Below are 19,849 nucleotides of genomic sequence, written 5' to 3'. Positions count from 1 at the left end.
ATTACCTTCAGGTTATATGTATTAGGTATATATAAAACATGAATGAATTTTATGTTTAGTCTTGGATCCCATCCCCAGGATATCTCATTATGTCTATGCAAATATTCCATAATCTGAAAGAAATTCAAAATTTGAAACATGTCTGGTCCCAAACATTTCAGATAAAGGATATTCAACCTTTAGACGCAGCTCTATAAATGCCTACTGAGAGTATCAGAAAGATAGTGTTAACTTGCATGGTCTATTTTTGGGTTGCACTTATGAAAATCTCTTGGGCAAGGACAAAACCAGACCTTTATAGGCAACTAAGACTTACCTTCATACATGTAGAGATAGATATACATACATGTGTATAATAATAACTATTATAATATAATTGTATAATATAACTACTATAATAACTATAATAACTATTATTGCTAATGTTAGTGGCAGTAGTAGATATAAATGATGATGTAGACACCATAACATAAAAAGATGTCTATACCAGTAGAATCTATTCAGTGAGTTTATAGTGTAATCATGGGCTAAATCAGACTGATATAAATTCTATCATGTAGATTATAAAATTTACATAATAAAGTTTGCAATCTACCCATCTGACAAAGGGCTAATATCCGGTATCTACAAGGAGCTTAAACAAATTTACAAGAAGAAAACAACTCCATCAAAAAGTGGGTGAAGGATATGAACAGACACTTTTCAAAAGAAGACATTTATGTTGCCCACAAACATGAAAAAAAGCTCATCATCACTGGTCATTAGAGAAATGCAAATGAAAACCACAATGAGATACCATCTCATGCCAGTTAGAACGGCGATCATTAAAAACTCAGGAAACTAACAGATGCTGGAGAGGATGTGGAGAAATAGGAACGCTTTTACACTGTTGGTGGGAGTGTAAATTAGTTCAACCATTGTGGAAGACAGTGTGGAGATTCCTCAAGGATCTAGAACTAGAAATAGCATTTGACCCAGCAATCCCATTACTGGGTATATATCCGAAGGACTATATATCATGCTACTATAAAGACACATGCCCATATATGTTTATTGGAGCACTATCCACAATAGCAAAGACTTGGAACCAACCCAAATGCCCATCAATGATAGACTGGATAAAGAAAATGTGGCACTTATACACCATGGAATACTACACCGCCATAAAGAAGAATGAGTTCATGTCCTTTGCAGGGACATGGATGAAGGTGGAAACCATCATTCTCAGCAAACTAAAACAAGAACAGAAAACCAAACACCACATGTTCTTACTCACAAGTGGGACTTGAACAATGAGAACACATGGACACAGGGAGGGAAACATCACACACGGGGGTCTGTCAGGGCATGGGGGACAAGGGGAGGGATAGCATTAGGAGAAATACCTAATGTAGATGATGGGTTGATGGGTGCCACAAACCACCATGGCACATGTATACCTATGTAACAAACCTGCACGTTTTGCACATGTATCTTAGAACTTAAAGTATAATAAAAAAAAAAACTTCAAAAATAACTTCAAATGAATAATAAATGTGATAGCTGCACTATTATGGTGAACTTGAGGTTTAGAGAATGGTTTTTCCATGTCTGAGTTGCAGAGATATTACTAATACTATACAAGAATAATTTCTCCATCTTTTCTCTGAAGTGATAGACAACTGTCTTCCTATGAGACAGAAACTTGGAGCTTTCTTCCTTTTAGTTAATAACCAATTTATAGCTGTCTTTAAACTTTGCATCCTTCTTTTCTAAAAAGAAAATCTAAAAAGGAAATCTATCCTGGTTAGTATAGCAGTGTTTTTCAAGTGTTTTAAAAATATGGGTTATATATAAAATTAGTGGTTTGCAGTAAATTTTGAAAAGTGCAATAAAATAGAAAATAGAGTGCACCACACAAAGTAAAGTATTTTATGCATCAATACACACACATGTATATACATAAACATATTAGTCCATATGCAAAACATGAGAGACAGTGTATGAAGTGACTAAGGGCATGGGTTCTGGAGCCACAGGGCCTGTATTCAAATCCTGGTCTGGTTACTTGTCTTTGGACAAGTCACTAAGTGCTTCAAGTTACTCATTTGTAAAATCGAGATATTAATAACCTTACAGGATATTGTGAGGATTAAATGAGCTACCACATGTAAAGAGCTTATAATTTATAAGGCACTTTCTATACACATATACATACACCCTATTTATACGCACATGTGTAGTGAGGGATATGTGTGTGTGTGTGTGTGTGTGTGTGTGCACGCGTGCACTATGTTCTAATGTAAAATATGTTTCTTACTCTGAGTCGTGGTTTTAAAAGATATGAAAGCTACTGGTTTATCGGGTGGCTGGCATTGTGGGTGGATATGGAGTGATGAGACCCTGGTCCTGGTCAATATTCTGCCAATTCCTGTGTGACCTGGAACATGTTACTTAACCTCTCTGTCCTCATTGCCGCATTGTTCTCTCTCTCTCTCCCTCCCTCCCTCCCTCTCTCTCTCTCTCTCTCTCTCTCTCTCCTACTTCAGCCTCTTCAGTAGCTGGGACTATAGGTGTGTGACACCATGCCTGGCTAATTTTTTTATTTTTTTGCAGAGACAGGATCTCACTATGTTCCCCAGGCTCTCATTGTCTTTTTCTTAAAGGTAATTAGACACTAAATTATCCTAAATGTGCCAATAAACAATATAATTCTATGCTTCTGTTAATCTTTCTGGTTCTTCCCTCTCTCCCCTTTTGAGAAAAATGGGAAGTTCTTTATGGATTGTGGATTATGAGTTTTGACCTTGGCCAGGATGAATGAGTGAGGATTAGGTACCTGAGGAAAAAGACACCTAATAGGGACTCTCCATATAGAATAGGGACTAAATGACCTTATCATATTCTTCCTCTGAGGGGAAGTTGAATGTGGGAAGAGAGGCAACATTTGAGATGCATAGAGGAGACATCAGAATGAAAGAGAATGAGAGCCAGTGTGGTGGCATGTGCCTGTAGTTCCAGCCACTTGGGAGGCTGAAGCAGGAGATCACTTGAGCCCAGGAGTTCAAAGTTACAGTGAGCTATGGTTGCGTCACTCCAGTCCAGCTTGGGTGACAGAGCAAGTCCCCTGTCTTTAAAATAATAATAATACCAATAAAAGAATGGAAGATAGAGAAGTGTGGCTGTAGTATCCTTCAAACTGTAATAGAAAAAGGTGGCCTGTAGAATCAGTGCTGGTGACAAAGTTATGCTTAGCGGGGAGAAACATCGGAAACTGCCTTTGATGAGCTATTATGGCTATAGAAACACTGATCTTGAAGACATACCCTGTCTAGTTTAGAAGTGAGACAAAAAGATAGTTGAGGTCAGGGTGAGTCAGGAGAGAAGACGAGTCAATGAAGAGGCAAAGGGGCTTGAGAAACACAAGAAGATATAGGTTGAATACGAGAGACAACCAGTGAACCTTTCTTGTGAAAAGGGATGGTCGATAACATTTTTAGTAGCAGGAATGTCTAAACCTCATTTTTTGTTTTTGTTGGCTCTGCAACCCGCCTCTATGGCCCTAGACCTTCAGTCTTGAGTTGACAGTGTTCCTGAAAGTAAGGGGATTACAAAGGATCCATCAGCTTGATACAAAGTAGAAAATGCAATGAAGAACAGTTGCTAAGAATTTAGTGGAAGCAGAAACTCAGCTTTGAAAAGTAACCACCCCTGCCCGTCCTCCCACCTCCGATTCCAAGCACCCAGAGATATTCGTCCAGAGATATTCAGGGATGCCAAGTTACCTAACATATATGGCGTGTAGGTTTGAGACAATTTACTTAAATCTTGGAAGACAAGGTTCTATGGGTTGAATACATCCCCTCCAAAATTCAGGTGTTGCCAATGTGATAGAGAGGTGTGTCATTTAAGAAGTGATGAGGCCATGGGAACGCCTCCCTCAATGGGATTAAGGCTTCATGCAGCTTGCCCTTCCATCTTCAGCCATGTGGGAACTTGGCAAGAAGTCCTTCACCAGACCAAATGCCATGCCTATCTTGGACTTCCCAGCTTTCAAATTGTGAGAAATAAATTTCTTTTCTTTATGAATGACTCAGTCTTGAGTATTTTCTTATAGCAGCACAAAACCGACTATGACACAAGGTGAGTCAAGCAAGTGCAATACTTGGGGGTATTCAAGAGGCTGATACATGACATGATAGCACAGTTCTCTGTTACTTAGATTGGTATTTTTCAAAGAGCATCTTATTACTAGCTTTGTAAGTTACTCCTCACCAAACTCCTTGCCAAATTTTAATAATTTTAATATACATGGAATATTTAGATACATTGAATTCTCAAATAGGAAATTATATTTTCATATACCAGCAAATTGAAATTAAAACAGAAATATCATTTACAGAAGTATCAAAAATTATATTTAGGGATAAATCTGACCAAATTTGTGGAAGATCTATCTGTACACTGGAAACTACAAAATGTTGCTGAAAGAAGTTAAAGAAAGCTTCAATAAATGAAGATATATACCTTCTGCATGGGCTGGAAGACTCAATATTTTTAAGATATCAGTTCTCCTCAAATTGATTTATAGATTCAACATAATCCCAACCAAAATCTCAGCAGACTTAAAAAAAAATGGGAACTGGCAAGCTGGTATGGGAATGCCAAGGACCTAGAATAACTGCCACAACTTCAGAAGAAGAAGAAAAAAAAGAACAAAGTTGAAAGGCTATACTATTGGATTTTAACCATTATTATTAAAATATAATAATCAAAACAGGGTGGTATTGGCATGAAGATAGACAATTACACTAAAGAAGCGGAATAGATAACTCTGAAATAGACCCACACATGGACAATGACTTTTTTAGAGTGGTACAAAGGTAATGCAATGGGAACAGTGTAGATTTTTTCAACAAATGGTGCTGGAACAATTGGATATCCATATCTCTATCTATATGTATATAAAGGAACTTGGATTGATGCCATGCAACATATACAAAAACTAACTCAAAATAGGTCATATATGTCAATGTAAAACCTAAACTCTTAGAAGAAAACATGGGAGAAAACCTTTGTAACCTTCGGTTCAGCAAATATTTCTTAGATAAAACACCAAAATCGGCCAGGCATGGTGGCTTACACCTATAATCCCAGCAATTTGGGAGGCTGAGGCAGGTGGATCACTTGAGGTCAGGAGTTGGAGACTAGCCTGGCTAACATGATGAAACCCTGTCTCTACTAAAAATATAAAAATTAGCTGGGAGTGGTGGCTTGCACCTGTAGCTCCAGCTACGTGGGAGGCTGAGGCACAATAATTGCTTGAACTCGGGAGGCAGAGGTTGCAGTGAGCCAAGATTGTGCCACTGCACTCCAGCCTGGGCAAGAGCGAGATCCTGTCTCAAAAACAAACAACCCACCAAAATCACAACCAATAAAAGGATGAATTGATAAATTAGACTTCATCAAAATTTAAAATTTCTATTTTTCAAAGACACTATTAAGAGAATGAAAAGACAAGCCACATAGTGAGATAAAATCTTTGGCCAGAATATATTTGATAAAGGACTTGGACACTTGAAACTCAACAATAAGAAAACAAATAACCCAATTAAAATAATGGGCTAAAGATTTGAACAGACATTTCTCCAAAGAAGATATATAGATGACAAGTAATTGCATGAAAAGGTGCCCAATATCATTACTCATTAGGTAAATGCAAATTAAAAACTGCAGTGAGATACTACTACATACCTATAAAAATGATTAAAATTAAAACGATTCACCATACCAAGTGTTGGTGAGAATGTGGAGGAACTAAGTATCTCATATACTGCCAGTAGAAATGTAAAATGGTACAATCACTTTGTAAACCAGTTTGAGAGTTACTTAAAAAGTTAGATGTATGGTGGCAAGATGGTGAAATAGAAGCCTACACCACTTGCCCCCAACCACTGGAACACCAAATTTAACAACTATAGAGAAAAACACCATCACAAGAAGCAAATATCAGGTGAGAAATCAGAGTACCATACTTTAACTTCATATCACTGAAAGAGTCACTGATGAGGGCAGGAGAGACAGTCGTCTTGAATCGCCAATGCCATACCTCTCACATCCCCATCTCAACTCCTCAGCACAGAGAATCTGTGCATTTTGGGGAGGGAGAGTGCTGCAATTGGAGGACTTTACATTGAACTCAGTGCTACCTGTCACAGTGGAGAATAAAGCTATGCTGGGCTCAGCAAATGCCTGTGCATGGAGAGAGCATTGGGACCACCCTTAGCCAGAGGGGAATTGCCCATTCCAATGATCAGAACTTGAATTTCTAGGAGTGTGGGCTGAAGTGCCCTGGGGGTTCTAGGTAAACTTGAAAGGCAGTTTAGAACACAAAGACTGCAATTGCTAGGCAACTCCTAGTGCTAGCCCAGGCTTAGAGCCAGTGGACTTGGGTGGCATGTAACCTAGGGAGACATCAGCTGACGTGGCTAAGGGAGAACTTGTGCTCACGCAACAAAAGTGACTCCTTTCTTCTGCTTAAGGATAGGAAAGTGAAGAATTAAGAGGACGATGTCTTGCATCTTGGATATCAGCTCAGCCACTGTAGGATAGGCCACCGGGCAGAGTCCTGAGGCCCTCATTCCAGGCCCTACTTTCCAGATGACATTTTGAGACACACACTGGTGCAAAAGAACCTGCTGCCTCGAAGGGAAGGACCTAGTCCTGGCAGGATTAATCACCTGCTGACTAAGGAGCCCTTGGGCCCTGAATAGCCAGCAGTGATACCCAGGGACCACACTGTGGGCATTGGGCTCTGAGATGTGCTGACTTCAGGGGTGACTCAGCACATTCCCAGCTGTGGTGGCTATGGTGAAAGACTCCTGTTTGATAAAAGCTTTTATTAAAGACTGTATGTCTTTATAGGTGGACACCATTTCTGGACCTGCCCTGGGTCAGAGGAGAGCCTACTGCCCTGAAAGGTGAGTCCCAGGCTTGGGAGCATTCACCCCAAGCTGACAGAGGAGCCCTTGGGCTCAAAACAAACATCAGCTGTGGCCTGGCAGAACCCCCTGTGGACTGGTAGTAGTGATGGCCACAGGGACAGCTTCCTCTGTGGAAAGCGAAGGACTTTCTATTGTGGTTTGAGTGCCAGCTTAGCTGCAGTAGAATAGAATATTAGCTAAATTTCTAAGGTTTTTGACTCCAGTCCTTGGCTCACAAACAGCATCTGTGGACACACCTGGAGCCTGGGGGGGATCTTACCACCCTTAAGGAAAGAGCCTTGGATAAGGTCCAGTGCATTGCTGGCTTCAGGTCTGACCCAGCACAGTCCCAGTGGTGGTGGTCACAGGGGTACTTGCATCACCACACCTCCAGTTCCAGGTGCCTCAGCACAGAGAAACTCCATATGTTTGGGAGAAAATAGGGAAAAGAACAAGAGTTTCTGCTTGGTAATCCAGATAATTCTTTTGGATCTTATCTAAGACACCAAGGTATTACTTCTACAAGTCTGCAAAAACCACAGCATTATTGAGTTTGAGGCCCAAGTCCCTTTGAATACCTGGAAAACCTTCCCAAAATGGGACAGGCACAAACAAGCCCAGACTGTGACAACTACAATAAATACCTAACTCTTCAATGCCCAGACACTGAAGAACATCTACAAGCACCAATGCTTTCCAAGAAAACATGACCTCACCAAATGAACTAAATAAGACACCACAGCCCAATCCTGGAGAAACAGATATGTGACCTTTCAGACAGAGAATTCAAAATAGCTGTTTTGAGGAAGCACAATGAAATTCAAGAGAAAACAGAAAATGAATCCAGAATTCTATTAGCTAAATTTAACGAAGAGATTGAAGCAAAAAGAAGCAGAAATTGTAGAGCTGAAAAATACAACTGACATGCTGAAGAAGCCATCAGAGTCTCAATAGTAGAACTGATCAAACAGAACAGAGAATTAGCTTGAAAAGAGGTGATTTGAAAACGGAGTCAGAAGAGACAGAAAAAAGAATAAAAAACAATGAAGCATGCCTACAAGATCTAGAAAGTAGACTCAAAAGGGATACTCTAAGAGATATTGGCCTTAAAGAGGTGGTAGAGAAGGAGAAAGCAGTAGGAAGTTTATTCAAAGGGATAATATCAGAGAACTTCCCAAACCTAGAAAAGATATCAACATTCAAGTATAAGAAGGTTATAGAACAGCAAGCAGATATAACCCAAAGAAGACTACCTCAGGCATCAAATAATCAGACTCCTGAAGGTCAAGGATAAAGAAAGGATCCTAAAATCAGCAAGAGAAAGGAAACAAATAACATACAATTGAGCTCCAATACATCTGGCAGCAGACTTTTCAGTGGAAACCTTACAGGTCAGGAGAGAATGGTATGACACTTTTAAAGTGTTGAAGGAAAAAACCTTTTACCCTAGACTAGTATACCTGGTGAAAATATTCTTCAAACATGAATGAGAAATCAAGACTTTCCCAGAGAAACAAAAGCTGAGGGATTTCATCAACACCAGACCTGTTCTACAAGAAATGCTAAAAAGAGCTCTTCAATTTGAAAAAAAAAAAAAAAAATGAGCAAGAAGAAATCATCAGAAGCTACAAAACTCACTGGTAGTAGTAAACACACAGAAAAACACAGAATAGTATGAATAGTGTAACACTGTAATTGTAGTGTATAAAGTACTCTTTTTTTTTTTTTTTTTTTTTTTGAGACAAGAGTCTTGCTCTGTCACCCAGGCTGGAGTACAGTGGTGTGATCTCGGCTCACTGCAAGCTCTGCCTTCTGGGTTCACGCCATTCTCCTGCCTCAACCTCCCGAGTAGCTGGGACTACAGGTGCCCACCACCATACCCGGCTAAGTTTTTGTATTTTTCAGTAGAGACGGGGTGTCACCATGTTAGCCAGGATGGTCTTGATCTCCTTACCTTGTGATCTGCCTGCCTCGGCCTCCTAAAGTGCTGGGATTACAGGTGTGAGCCACCGCACCCAGCCATAAAGTACTCTTAAGTAGAAATGCTAAATGATGAACCAATCAAAAATAATAACTACAGCTTTTCAAGACACAGACAGTACAATAAGATATAATGAAAAGCAACAGAAGGTTAAAAAGCTGGGGGATGAAGTGAAAAGTGTAGAATTTTTATTAGTTTTCTTTTTGCATGTTTGTTTATGCAATTAGTGTTGTCTTCAGTTTAAAACAATGCGTTATAAGATAGTATTTGCAAGCCTCATGGTAACCTCAAATCAACACACAGTGGATACACAAAAAATAAAAAGCAAGAAATTAAATCATAGCACCAGAGAAAATCACCTTCACTAAAAAAGGACAAGAAGGAAGGAAAAAGGGAAGAGAAGACCACAAAACAAACAGAAAACAACAAAATGGCCAGAGTAAGTCCTTACTTATCTATAATAACATTGTAAATGAACTAAACTCTCCAATCAAAAGACAGAGAGTGGCTGAATGGATGAGAAAATAAGAACGAATGATCTGTTGCCTAAAAGAAACACACTTCACCTATAAAGATACACATAGACTGAAAATCAGGGATGGGAAAAGATATTCCATGCAAATCAAAGCCAAAAAAGACCAGGAGTAGCTATATTTATATCAGACAAAATTGATTTCAAGACAAAAACGATAAGAAGACATGAAGTCCTTGCCCATGACTATGTCCTGAATGGTATTGCCTAGGTTTTCTTCTAGGGTTTTTATGGTTTTAGGTCTAACATTTAAGTCTTTAGTCCATCTTGAATTAATTTTTGTATAAGGTGTAAGGAAGGGATCCAGTTTCAGGTTTCTACATATGGCTAGCCAGTTTTCCCAACACCATTTATTAAATAGGGAATCCTTTCCCTATTGCTTGTTTTTGTCAGGTTTGTCAAAGATCAGATAGTTGTAGATATGCGGCATTATTTCTGAGGGCTCTGTTCTGTTCCATTGGTCTATATCTCTGTTTTGGTACCAGTACCATGCTGTTTTAGTTACTGTAGCCTTGTAGTATAGCTTGAAGTCAGGTAGCATGATGCCTCCAGCTTTGTTCTTTTGGCTTAGGATTCACTTGGCAATGCAGGCTGTTTTTTGGTTCCATATGAACTTTAAAGTAGTTTTTTCCAATTCTGTGAAGAAAGTCATTGGTAGCTTGATGGGGATGGCATTGAATCTATAAATTACCTTGGGCAGTATGGCCATTTCACCATATTTATTCTTCCTACCCATGAGCATGGAATGTTCTTCCATTTGTTTGTATCCTCTTTTATTTCATGGAGCAGTGGTTTGTAGTTCTCCTTGAAGAAGTCCTTCACATCCTTTGTAAGTTGGATTCCTAGGTATTTTATTGTCTTGGAAGCAACTGTGAATGGGAGCTCACTCATGATTTGGCTCTCTGTTTGTCTGTTACTGGTGTATAAGAATGCTTGTGATTTTTGCACATTGATTTTGTATCCTGAGACTTTGCTGAAGTTGCCTATCAGCTTAAGGAGATTTTTGGCTGAGACGATGGGGTTTTCTAGATATACAATCATGTCATCTGCAAACAGAGACAATTTGACCAAAAGCAATGGCAACAAAAGCCAAAATTGACAAATGGGATCTAATTAAACTAAAGAGCTTCTGCACAGCAAAAGAAACTACCATCAGAGTGGACAGGCAACCTACAGAATGGGAGAAAATTTTTGCAATCTACTCATCTGACAAAGGGTTAATATCCAGAATTTACAATGAACTCAAACAAATTTACAAGAAAAAAACAACCCCATCAAAAAGTGGGCAAAGGATATGAACAGACACTTCTCAAAAGACGACATTTATGCAGCCAAAAGACACTTGAAAAAATGCTCATGATTACTGGCCATCAGAGAAATGCAAATCAAAACCACAATGAGATACCATCTCACACCAGTTAGAATGGCGATCATTAAAAAGTTAGGAAACAACAGGTGCTGGAGAGGATGTGGAGAAATAGGAACACTTTTACACTGTTGGTAGGACTGTAAACTAGTTCAACCATTGTGGAAGTCAGTGTGGCGATTCCTCAGGGATCTAGAACTAGAAATACCATTTGACCCGGCCATCCCATTACTGGGTATATACCCAAAGGATTATAAATCATGCTGCTATAAAGACACATGCACACGTATGTTTATTGCAGCACTATTCACAAGAGCAAAGACTTGGAACCAACCCACATGTCCAACAATGACAGACTGGATTAAGAAAATGTGGCACATATACACCATGGAATACTATGCAGCCATAAAAAATGATGAGTTCATGTCCTTTGTAGGGATATGGATGAAGCTGGAAACCATCATTCTCAGCAAACTATCGCAAGGACAAAAAACCAAACACCGCATGTTCTCACTCATAGGTGGGAATTGAACAATGAGAACACATGGACACAGGAAGGGAAACATCACACACCGAGGTCTGTTGTGAGGTGGGGGGAGTGGGGAGGGATAGCATTAGGAGATATATCTAATGTTAAATGACGAGTTAATGGGTGCAGCACACCAACATGGCACATGTATACATATGTAGCAAACCTGCACGTTGTGCACATGTACCCTCAAACTTAAAGTATAATAAAAAAAACTATAAGAAGAGACAAAGAAGGTCATTATATAATGATAAAGGGGTCAGTTCAGCAAGAGGGTATAATGATTATTAATCTATATGCATTCAATACTAGAGCACCCAAATATATAAAGCAAATATTAATTAATAGAGCTAAAGAGGGAGATCTCAATACAATAATATCCAGAGACTTCAACACCTCACTTTCAGCATTGGACAGATCTCCCAGATAGAAAATTAACAGAGAAAATTTGGACTTAATCTACACTATGGAACAAATGGATCTAATAGATATTTACGGAACATTTCATCCAATGGCTGCAGAATACACATTCTTCTCCTCAGCACATAAATCATTCTGAAGGACAGGCGATATGTTAGGTTACAAAACAAAACATTAAAAAAAATTGAAATAATATCAAGAATCTTCTCTGACCACAATGAAATAAAACTAAGAATAACGAGAGGAACTTTGTAAAACTATACAAGGACTTCAGCGGACATGGCTCCCAGCGTGCCAGCGGCAGAACCCGAGTATCCTAAAGGCATCCAGGCCGTGCTGCTGGGGCCTCCCGGGGACGGTAAAGGCACCCAGGCACCCATATTGGCTGAAAACTTCTGTGTCTGCCATTCGGCTACTGGGGACAGGCTGAGGGCCATGGTGGCTTCTGGCTCAGAGCTAGAAAAAAAGCTGAACGCAACTATGGATGCTGGGAAACTGGTGAGTGATGAAATGGTAGTGGAGCTCATTGAGAAGAATTTGGAGACCCCCCTTGTGCAAAAATGTTTTTCTTCTGGATGGCTTCCCTCGGACTGTGAGGCAGGCAGAAATGCTCGATGACCTCATGGAGAAGAGGAAAAAGAAGCTTGATTCTGTGATTGAATTCAGCATCCCAGACTCTCTGCTGATGATTTTAGAGTCAACTGTGAGACAGAGCTGGCCATGTGCCAGCCAGTAGAGAACGACATCCATGGGCTCTGCGAGGTCATTGATGACACCAATGTCACTCAGCTGCAGCTGGAGACAGAGATCCAGGCTTTCAAGGAGGAGCTGCTCTTATGAAGAAGAACCATGAAGAGGAAGTAAAAGGCCTACAAGCCCAGATTGCCAGCTCTGGGTTGACTGTGGTGGTAGATGCCCCCATATCTCAGGACTTCGCCAAGATCATGGCAGACATCTGGGCCCAATATGACGAGGTGGCTCAGAAGAACAGAGAGGAGCTGGACAATAACAGGTCTCAGCAGATTGAGGAGAGCACCACAGTGGTCACCACACAGTCCACCGAGGTTGGAGCTGCTAAGGCGATGCTCACAGAGCTGACACGTACAGTCCAGTTCTTGGAGATCAACCTAGACTCCATGAGAAATCTGAAGGCCAGTTTGGAGAACAGCCTGAGGGAGGTAGTGGCCCGCTATGCCCTGCAGATGGAGCAGCTCAATGGGATCCTGCTACACCTGGAGTCAGAGCTGGCACAAACCTGGGCAGAGGGACAGTGCCAGGCCCAGGAGTACCAGGCCCTGCTGAACATCAAGGTCAAGCTGGAGGCTGCGATCGCCACCTACCGCCGCCTGCTGGAAGATGGCAAGGACTTCAATCTTGGTGATACCCTGGACTGCAGCAACTCCATGCAAACCATCCAAAAGACCACCACCCGCCAGATAGACCCGCCAGATAGTGGATGGCAAAGTGGTGTCTGAGACCAATGACACCAAAATTCTGAGGCATTAAGCCAGCAGAAGCAGGGTATCCTTTGGGGAGCCCGAAGCCAATAAAAAGTTCAGAGGTTAAAAAAAATAAATAAAAAAAGTTGAAGCAGAAATAAATGAATTTGAAATGAGGAAAACAATACAAAAGACCAATGAAACAAAAAGTTGGTTTTTTTCAAAAGATAAACAAAATTGACAAACATTTAGCCAGAGTAAGGGAAAAATGGAGAGGACTCAAATACATAAAAACAGAGATGAAAAAGGAGACATTACAACTGATACCACAGAAATTCAAAGGATTATTAGTGGCTAATATGAGCAACTACATGCCCATATATTGGAAATTCTAGAGGAAATGGATAAATTCCTCGACACAGACAACCCACCAAAACTGAACCATGAAGAAATCTAAAATCTGAACAGACCAATAACAAGTAACAAGATTAAAGCTGTAATAAAAAGTCTCCCAGCAAAGAAAAGCCTGGAATCCAATGGCTTCACTGCTGAATTTTAGCAAATATTTGAAAAAGAACTAATATCAATCCTACTCAAACTATTTTGAAAAATAGAGGAGGAGGGAATACTTCCAAACTCATTCTATGAGGCAAGGATACACCAGGCAATACTATGCAGCCATAAAAAGGAATAAGATTATGTTATTTGCAGAACATGTATGGAGTTGAAAGACATTATCCTCATCAAACTAACGCAGGAACAAAAAACCAAACATCACACGTTCTCAGTTATAAGTGGGAGCTGAACAATGAGACCACATGGACACATAAGGGAAAACAACACACACTGGGGCCTGTTGGTTGGAGGGTGGGTATTGAGGGGAGGGAGAATCAGGAAGAATAGCTAATGGCCGCTGGGCTTACTACCTAGGTGATGGAATGATCTGTGCAGCAAACCACCATGGCACACATTTATCTGTGTAACAAACCTGCACATGTACCCTTAAAATAAAATTTGAAGAAAAAAAAAAGTCTCCTAGTAAAGAAAAGTGTGGGCCCAATGGCTTTAACACTGAATTCTACCAAACATTTAAAGAAGAACTAATACCAATTCTACTCGAACTGTTCCAAAAGACGGAAAAAAGGGATTACTCTCAAACTCATTCTATGAGGCCAGTATTATCCTGCTACCAAAACCAGACAAAGACACATCAAAAAAGGAAAACTACAGGCCAAGTTTTCTGATGAATACTGATGCAAAAATCCTCAACAAAATACTGGCAAACTGAATTCAACAATACATTAAAAAGATTAATCATCATGACCAAGTGGTATTTATCCCAGGGATGAAAGGATGGTTCAACACATGCAAATCAATCAATGTGATACGTCATATCCACAGAATGAAGGACAAAAACCATATGATCATTTCAACTGATGCTGAAAAAGCATTACAGTCCAACATCCCTTCATGATAAAAACTCTCAAAAAACTGGGTATAGAAGGAATATACCTCAATAAATAAATAAGACCCATGGCCAGCATCATACTGAATGGGGAAACACTGGGTTGGATTTCTCATGAATGATTTAGCACCATCCTGTTGGTGCTTTCCTCACAATAGTGAGTTCTCACGAGATCTGGCTGTTTGAAAGTGTATGGCACCTTGCTCTCCTTCTCTTGCTCCAGCTCTTCCCATGTCATGTGCATGCTGTTCCCTACCTTCTGCCACAGATTGTAAGTTTCATAAGACCCTCCTAGAAGTTGAGCAGATGCCAGCATCATGCTTCCTGTACAGCATGCAGAACCATAAGCTAATAAAACCTTTTTGCTTTATACATTACTCAGTCTCAGGTATTTCTTTATAGCAATGTGAAAATTGACTAATACAGAAAATTTGTACCTAGGAGTGGGTCATTGCTATAAAGACACCTGAAAATGTGGAAGCAGACTTGGAACTGGGTAACAGGCAGAAGTTGCAAGGCAGGCTGTGGAGCAACCACATGCTAGAAAGATTTGCATAATGAAAGAGAAGTCAAGTACTGATAGCCAAGACAATGGGGAAAAGGCCTCAAAAGCATTTCAGAGACCTTTGAGGCAGCCCCTCCCATCACAGGCCCTGAGGCCTAGGAGTAAAGAATGGTTTTGTGGGCCAGGCCCAAAGCCCCAGTACTCTGCGCAGCCTCAGGACACTGCTCCACCACCTCCCAGCCACTTCTGCTCCATCCATGGCTCAAAGGGGCTCAGGTACAGCTTGAGCTGCTGCTTCAGAGGATACAAGCCATAAGCCTTGGTGGCTTCCATGTAGTGTTAAGCCTGCAGGTGCACAGAGTGCAACAGTTGAGGCTTAGGAGCCTCCACCTAGATTTCAGAGGATGTATGGAAAAGCCTGTGTGTCTAGGCAGAAGCCTACCGCAGGGATGGAGCCCTCATGGAGAACCTCTACTAGGGCAGTGTGGAGGGGAATTGTGGGGTTGGAGACCCCTCACAGAGTCCCCACTAGGGCACTGCTTAGTGGAGCAATGAGAAGAGGGCTGCTGTCCCACAGACCTCATAGTGGTAGATCCCCTGACAGTGTGCCTGGAAAAGCCCACAGACACTTAATGCCAGCTCATGAGAGTAGCTGTGGGGGTTGAACCCTCCAAATTCACAGGGGCAGAACTGCCTAAGGCCTTGGGAACCCACTCCCTGAACCACTGTGACCTGGATGTGGGACATGGAGTCAAAGGAGATTATTTGGGAGCGTTAAGATTCAGTGACTGTCCTGCTGGGTTTTGAACTTGTGTGAGACCTGTAGTCTCTTTCTTTTGGTTGATTTCTCCCTTTTGGAGCATTCCTAATGCCATACTCCCATTGTACCTTGGGATTTGATTTTACAGGCTCATAGGTGGAAGGAGATGAATATAAGATGAGACTTTGGACTTGAAATTCAGAGTTAATGCTGGAATGAGCTAAGACTTTGGGAGGACTATTGGGAAGGCATGATTGTGTTTTGAAATGTGAGAAAGAGATGAGATTTGAGAGGGGTCAAGGGTGGAATGATACAGTCTAGATCTGTGTCCTTGTCCAAATTTCTTGGTGAATTGTAATCCCCCGTATTGGAGGTGGGGCCTAGTGAAAGTAATTGGATCATGGGGGCTGATTTCTCATAAATGGTTTAGCACCATCCTTCAGGTGCCATTCTGGTGATAGTGAGTGACTTTATGTGAAATCTGGCTGTTTAAAAGTGTGTGGCACCTTGCCGTATGTATCTTGCTCCTGCTCTGGCCATGTGATGTGCCTGCTCCCTATTCATCTTCTGCCATGATTGTAAGATTCCTGAGGTCTCCCCCATAGCCAAGCAGATTCCAGCATCATGCTTGCTTCCTGTACAGCCTGCTGATCATGATCAGAGTTTTTCTTTATAAATTGCCCAGTCTCAGGTGTGTCTTTTTTTTTTTTTTTTTTTTTTTTTTGAGATGGAGTCTCACTCTGTCACCCAGGCTGGAGTGCAGTGGCGTGATCTTGGCTTACTGCAAGCTCTGCCTCCCAGGTTCATGCCATTCTCCTGCTTCAGCCTCCCAAGTAGCTGGGACTACAGGCACATGCCACCACACCCGGCGAATTTTTTGTATTTTTAGTAGAGACGGGGTTTTACCGTGTTAGCCAGGATGGTCTCGATCTCCTGACCTCTTGATGTGCATGCCTTGGCCTCCCAAAGTGCTGGGATTACAGGCATGAGCCATCGCGCCTGACCTTTCTTTCTTTCTTTTTTTTTTTTTTTTGAGACTGAGTCTCGCTCTGTCACCAGGCTGGAGTGCAGTGGTGTGATCTTGGCTCACTGCAACCTCTGCTTCCTGGATTCAAGTGATTCTCCTGCATCAGCCTCCCGAGTAGCTGGGACTACAGGTGCACACCACCATGCCCCGCTAATTTTTGTATTTTTAGTAGAGACGGGGTTTCACCATGTTGGCCAGGATGGTCTTGATCTCCTGACCTCATGATCCACCCGCCTCAGCCTCCCGAAATGCTGGGATTACAGGCATGAGCCACTGCGCCCAGCCTCAGATGTGTCTTTATAGCCATGCAAGAATGGGCTAATACAGACAGTCTCTTCAATAAATGGTGCTGGGAAAACTGGACATCGATATGCAAAAGAATAAAACTTGACTGCTATCTCTTGCCTTGTAAAAAAATCCAATCAAAATGGATTAAAGACAAAAATCTAAGTCTTTAAAGCATGAAACTACTACAAGAAAACATTGGGGAAACTCTCCAGGACATTGGTCTGGGCAAAAATTGCTTGAGTAGTACCCCACAAATACAGGCAACCAAAGCAAAAATGAAGAAATGGGATCACATCAAGTTAAAAAGCTTCTGCACAGCAAAGGAGACAATCAACAAAGTGAAGAGACAACCCACAGAATGGGAGAAAATATCTGCAAACCACGCATCTGACAAAGGATTAATAACCAGAATATATAAGGAGCTCAAACAACTGTACAAAAAATCTAATAATTTGATTTAAAAAAAGGACAATATATTTAAATAGACCCATCTCAAAAGAAGACACACAAATGGCAAGAGGCATGTGAAAAGGTGCTCAATGTCATTGATCACCAGAGATTTGTGAATCAAAACTGCCATGAGATATCATCTTGCCCCAGTTAATACGACTTTTCCCCAATAGTCAGGCAATAACAAATGCTGGCAAGGATGTAGAGAAAAGGGAGCCCTCATACACTGTTGGTGGAGATGTAAATTAGTATAACCACTATGTAGATCAGTTTGGAGGTTCCACAAATAACCAGAAATAGAGCTACCATGTGATCCAACAATTCCACTGCTGGTTCCATACCCAAAAGAATGGGAGTCAGTCTATCAAAGAGATACCTGCACTCCCATGTTTGTTGCAGCACCGTTCACAATAGCCAAGATTTGGAAGTAACCTAAGTGTCCATCAAGAGATGAATTTCAGTAAAGAAAATGTGGTACTTATGCCCAATGGAGTATTATTCAGCAATAAAAAATAAGTTTCTCATCTGCAACAACATGGATGGAACTTGAGGTCATTATGTTAAGTGAAATAAACCAAACACAGAAAGACAAATATCACATGTTCTCACTTATTTGTGGGATTTAAAAATTGAAACTATTGAACTCGTGGAGATAGAGAATAGGATAGTTACCAGAGGCTTGGAGGGAAGCAAGTGGGCAAGGAGGGAGGTGGGGATGGTTAATGGGTATGAAAAAAATAAAAAGAATGAATAAGACCTACAATCTAATAGTCCTCCAATATATTTATTTACCCAATAGAAAAAGAAATATATGTTCACATATAGATTTGTACACTAATGTTCATATAGCTTCATTTGCAATAGTCCCAAACTATAAGCAACCCAAATTTCTATCAACAGGTGAGTGGGTAAACAAATTGTGGTGTACCATGCACGGCATATAATGCATGGTATACAATGCAATACTACTCAACAACAAAGAAGAATGCACCGTGGATACATTCAACAACAAGGACAAATCTAATTATGCTTTATGAGTTAAAGAAGCTAATCTAAAAAGAGTATATACTGTGTGATTTCATTCATGTGAAACTATAAAATGCAAACAAATCTATATTGACAAAAATTAAATCAATTTCTTTGGGTATGGGAGGGTCAACTAAGGGAGGGTCTGTGGTGAAGAGTGAGAAAGGGATTATGAAAAGGCATGAGGAAATTTTGGGCAGTGAGCATATGTTTACTATTTTCATTATAATTTCATGGGTGTATACATATGTCAAAATGTATCAAACTACATTTAAATATATGCAGTTAATTTTATATCAAACATAGCTCAATAAAACATTATTTTAAAGATGTGGTTTCAACAACTTTTGAGTAAGATGTTATTCAACTGGAAATGTTCACCTTGAGGTTGGAAAAGTGGGTCTGGAACTTGGGGGAGAAGCTGGGGGAAAATATTTTAGGAGTAAGCTGTCCCTCCCTTTCCCTCTCTCCCTGTCTTGCTCATTCTCTTTGCTTTTTTCCTTCCTTCATCTCTCTACCACAGCAATTTGTTCTGGTGATACTATTTACATAGAGTTGATAATGGAAGGCGTGTGAAAGGCTGATTGCATTAAATAGGTATAAAGAACAGTTATTGAGGAAAGAAATGTGGAAATATTTGGGGGATGTTGAAGAGTAAGAGAAATGAGAAATAATCAGAAGGATGGTCAGCACATAGGAAAATAATTAGTAGAAGGGAATGTCACGGAATCCAAAGAAGAAGAAAGTTTTAAAAATAGTGGGTGATTATTAGTGTCACATGTTATAGGGTTTCATTTAGCTTCTTTAATGAACTTAACTATAAAATCCAATTATTTAGAGCACTCCATTCCCCCCCACCATTGTAGTTAACTGAGATGTTATAACATATAACCGTACATATGTGTTTAAGCCTCTCCACGGAAATAATTCCCTCTGCTAATAGGCTTATTCATTTGCAAAGATATCAAAGTACAAAGAAAAATAATTCAGGGTTTTAAAAGAAGCTTTGATTGTTTATAAAATATAATATATATATATTAATATATAAAAAATATATGTATATATATTCTTTTTTAGATGGAGTTTCGCTCTTGATGCC

At 40.4% G+C, this 19,849-nt stretch overlaps 2 pseudogenes, besides 1 other annotated feature; both read left to right on the top strand.

Moving 5' to 3' along the window:
- AK2P2 (adenylate kinase 2 pseudogene 2) lies at positions 12,057-12,400 on the top strand (annotated as a pseudogene).
- On the top strand, positions 12,451-13,351 carry KRT18P52 (keratin 18 pseudogene 52; annotated as a pseudogene).
- Positions 15,020-15,521: an enhancer, noted in NCBI's record as "NANOG hESC enhancer chr2:32045435-32045936 (GRCh37/hg19 assembly coordinates)". NCBI's record gives its function as "activates a minimal SCP1, AML or CMV promoter by ChIP-STARR-seq in naive H9 embryonic stem cells {active_cell/tissue: H9 hESC(naive)}" and the evidence as "EXISTENCE:reporter gene assay evidence [ECO:0000049][PMID:30033119]".

This window comes from Homo sapiens, chromosome 2 (genome assembly GCF_000001405.40).
Source record: "Homo sapiens chromosome 2, GRCh38.p14 Primary Assembly".
In the NCBI taxonomy this organism is placed as follows: domain Eukaryota; kingdom Metazoa; phylum Chordata; class Mammalia; order Primates; family Hominidae; genus Homo; species Homo sapiens.
The sequence above is the reverse complement of the archived record's forward strand: the minus strand, read 5'-3'. Positions and strand labels throughout refer to the sequence as shown.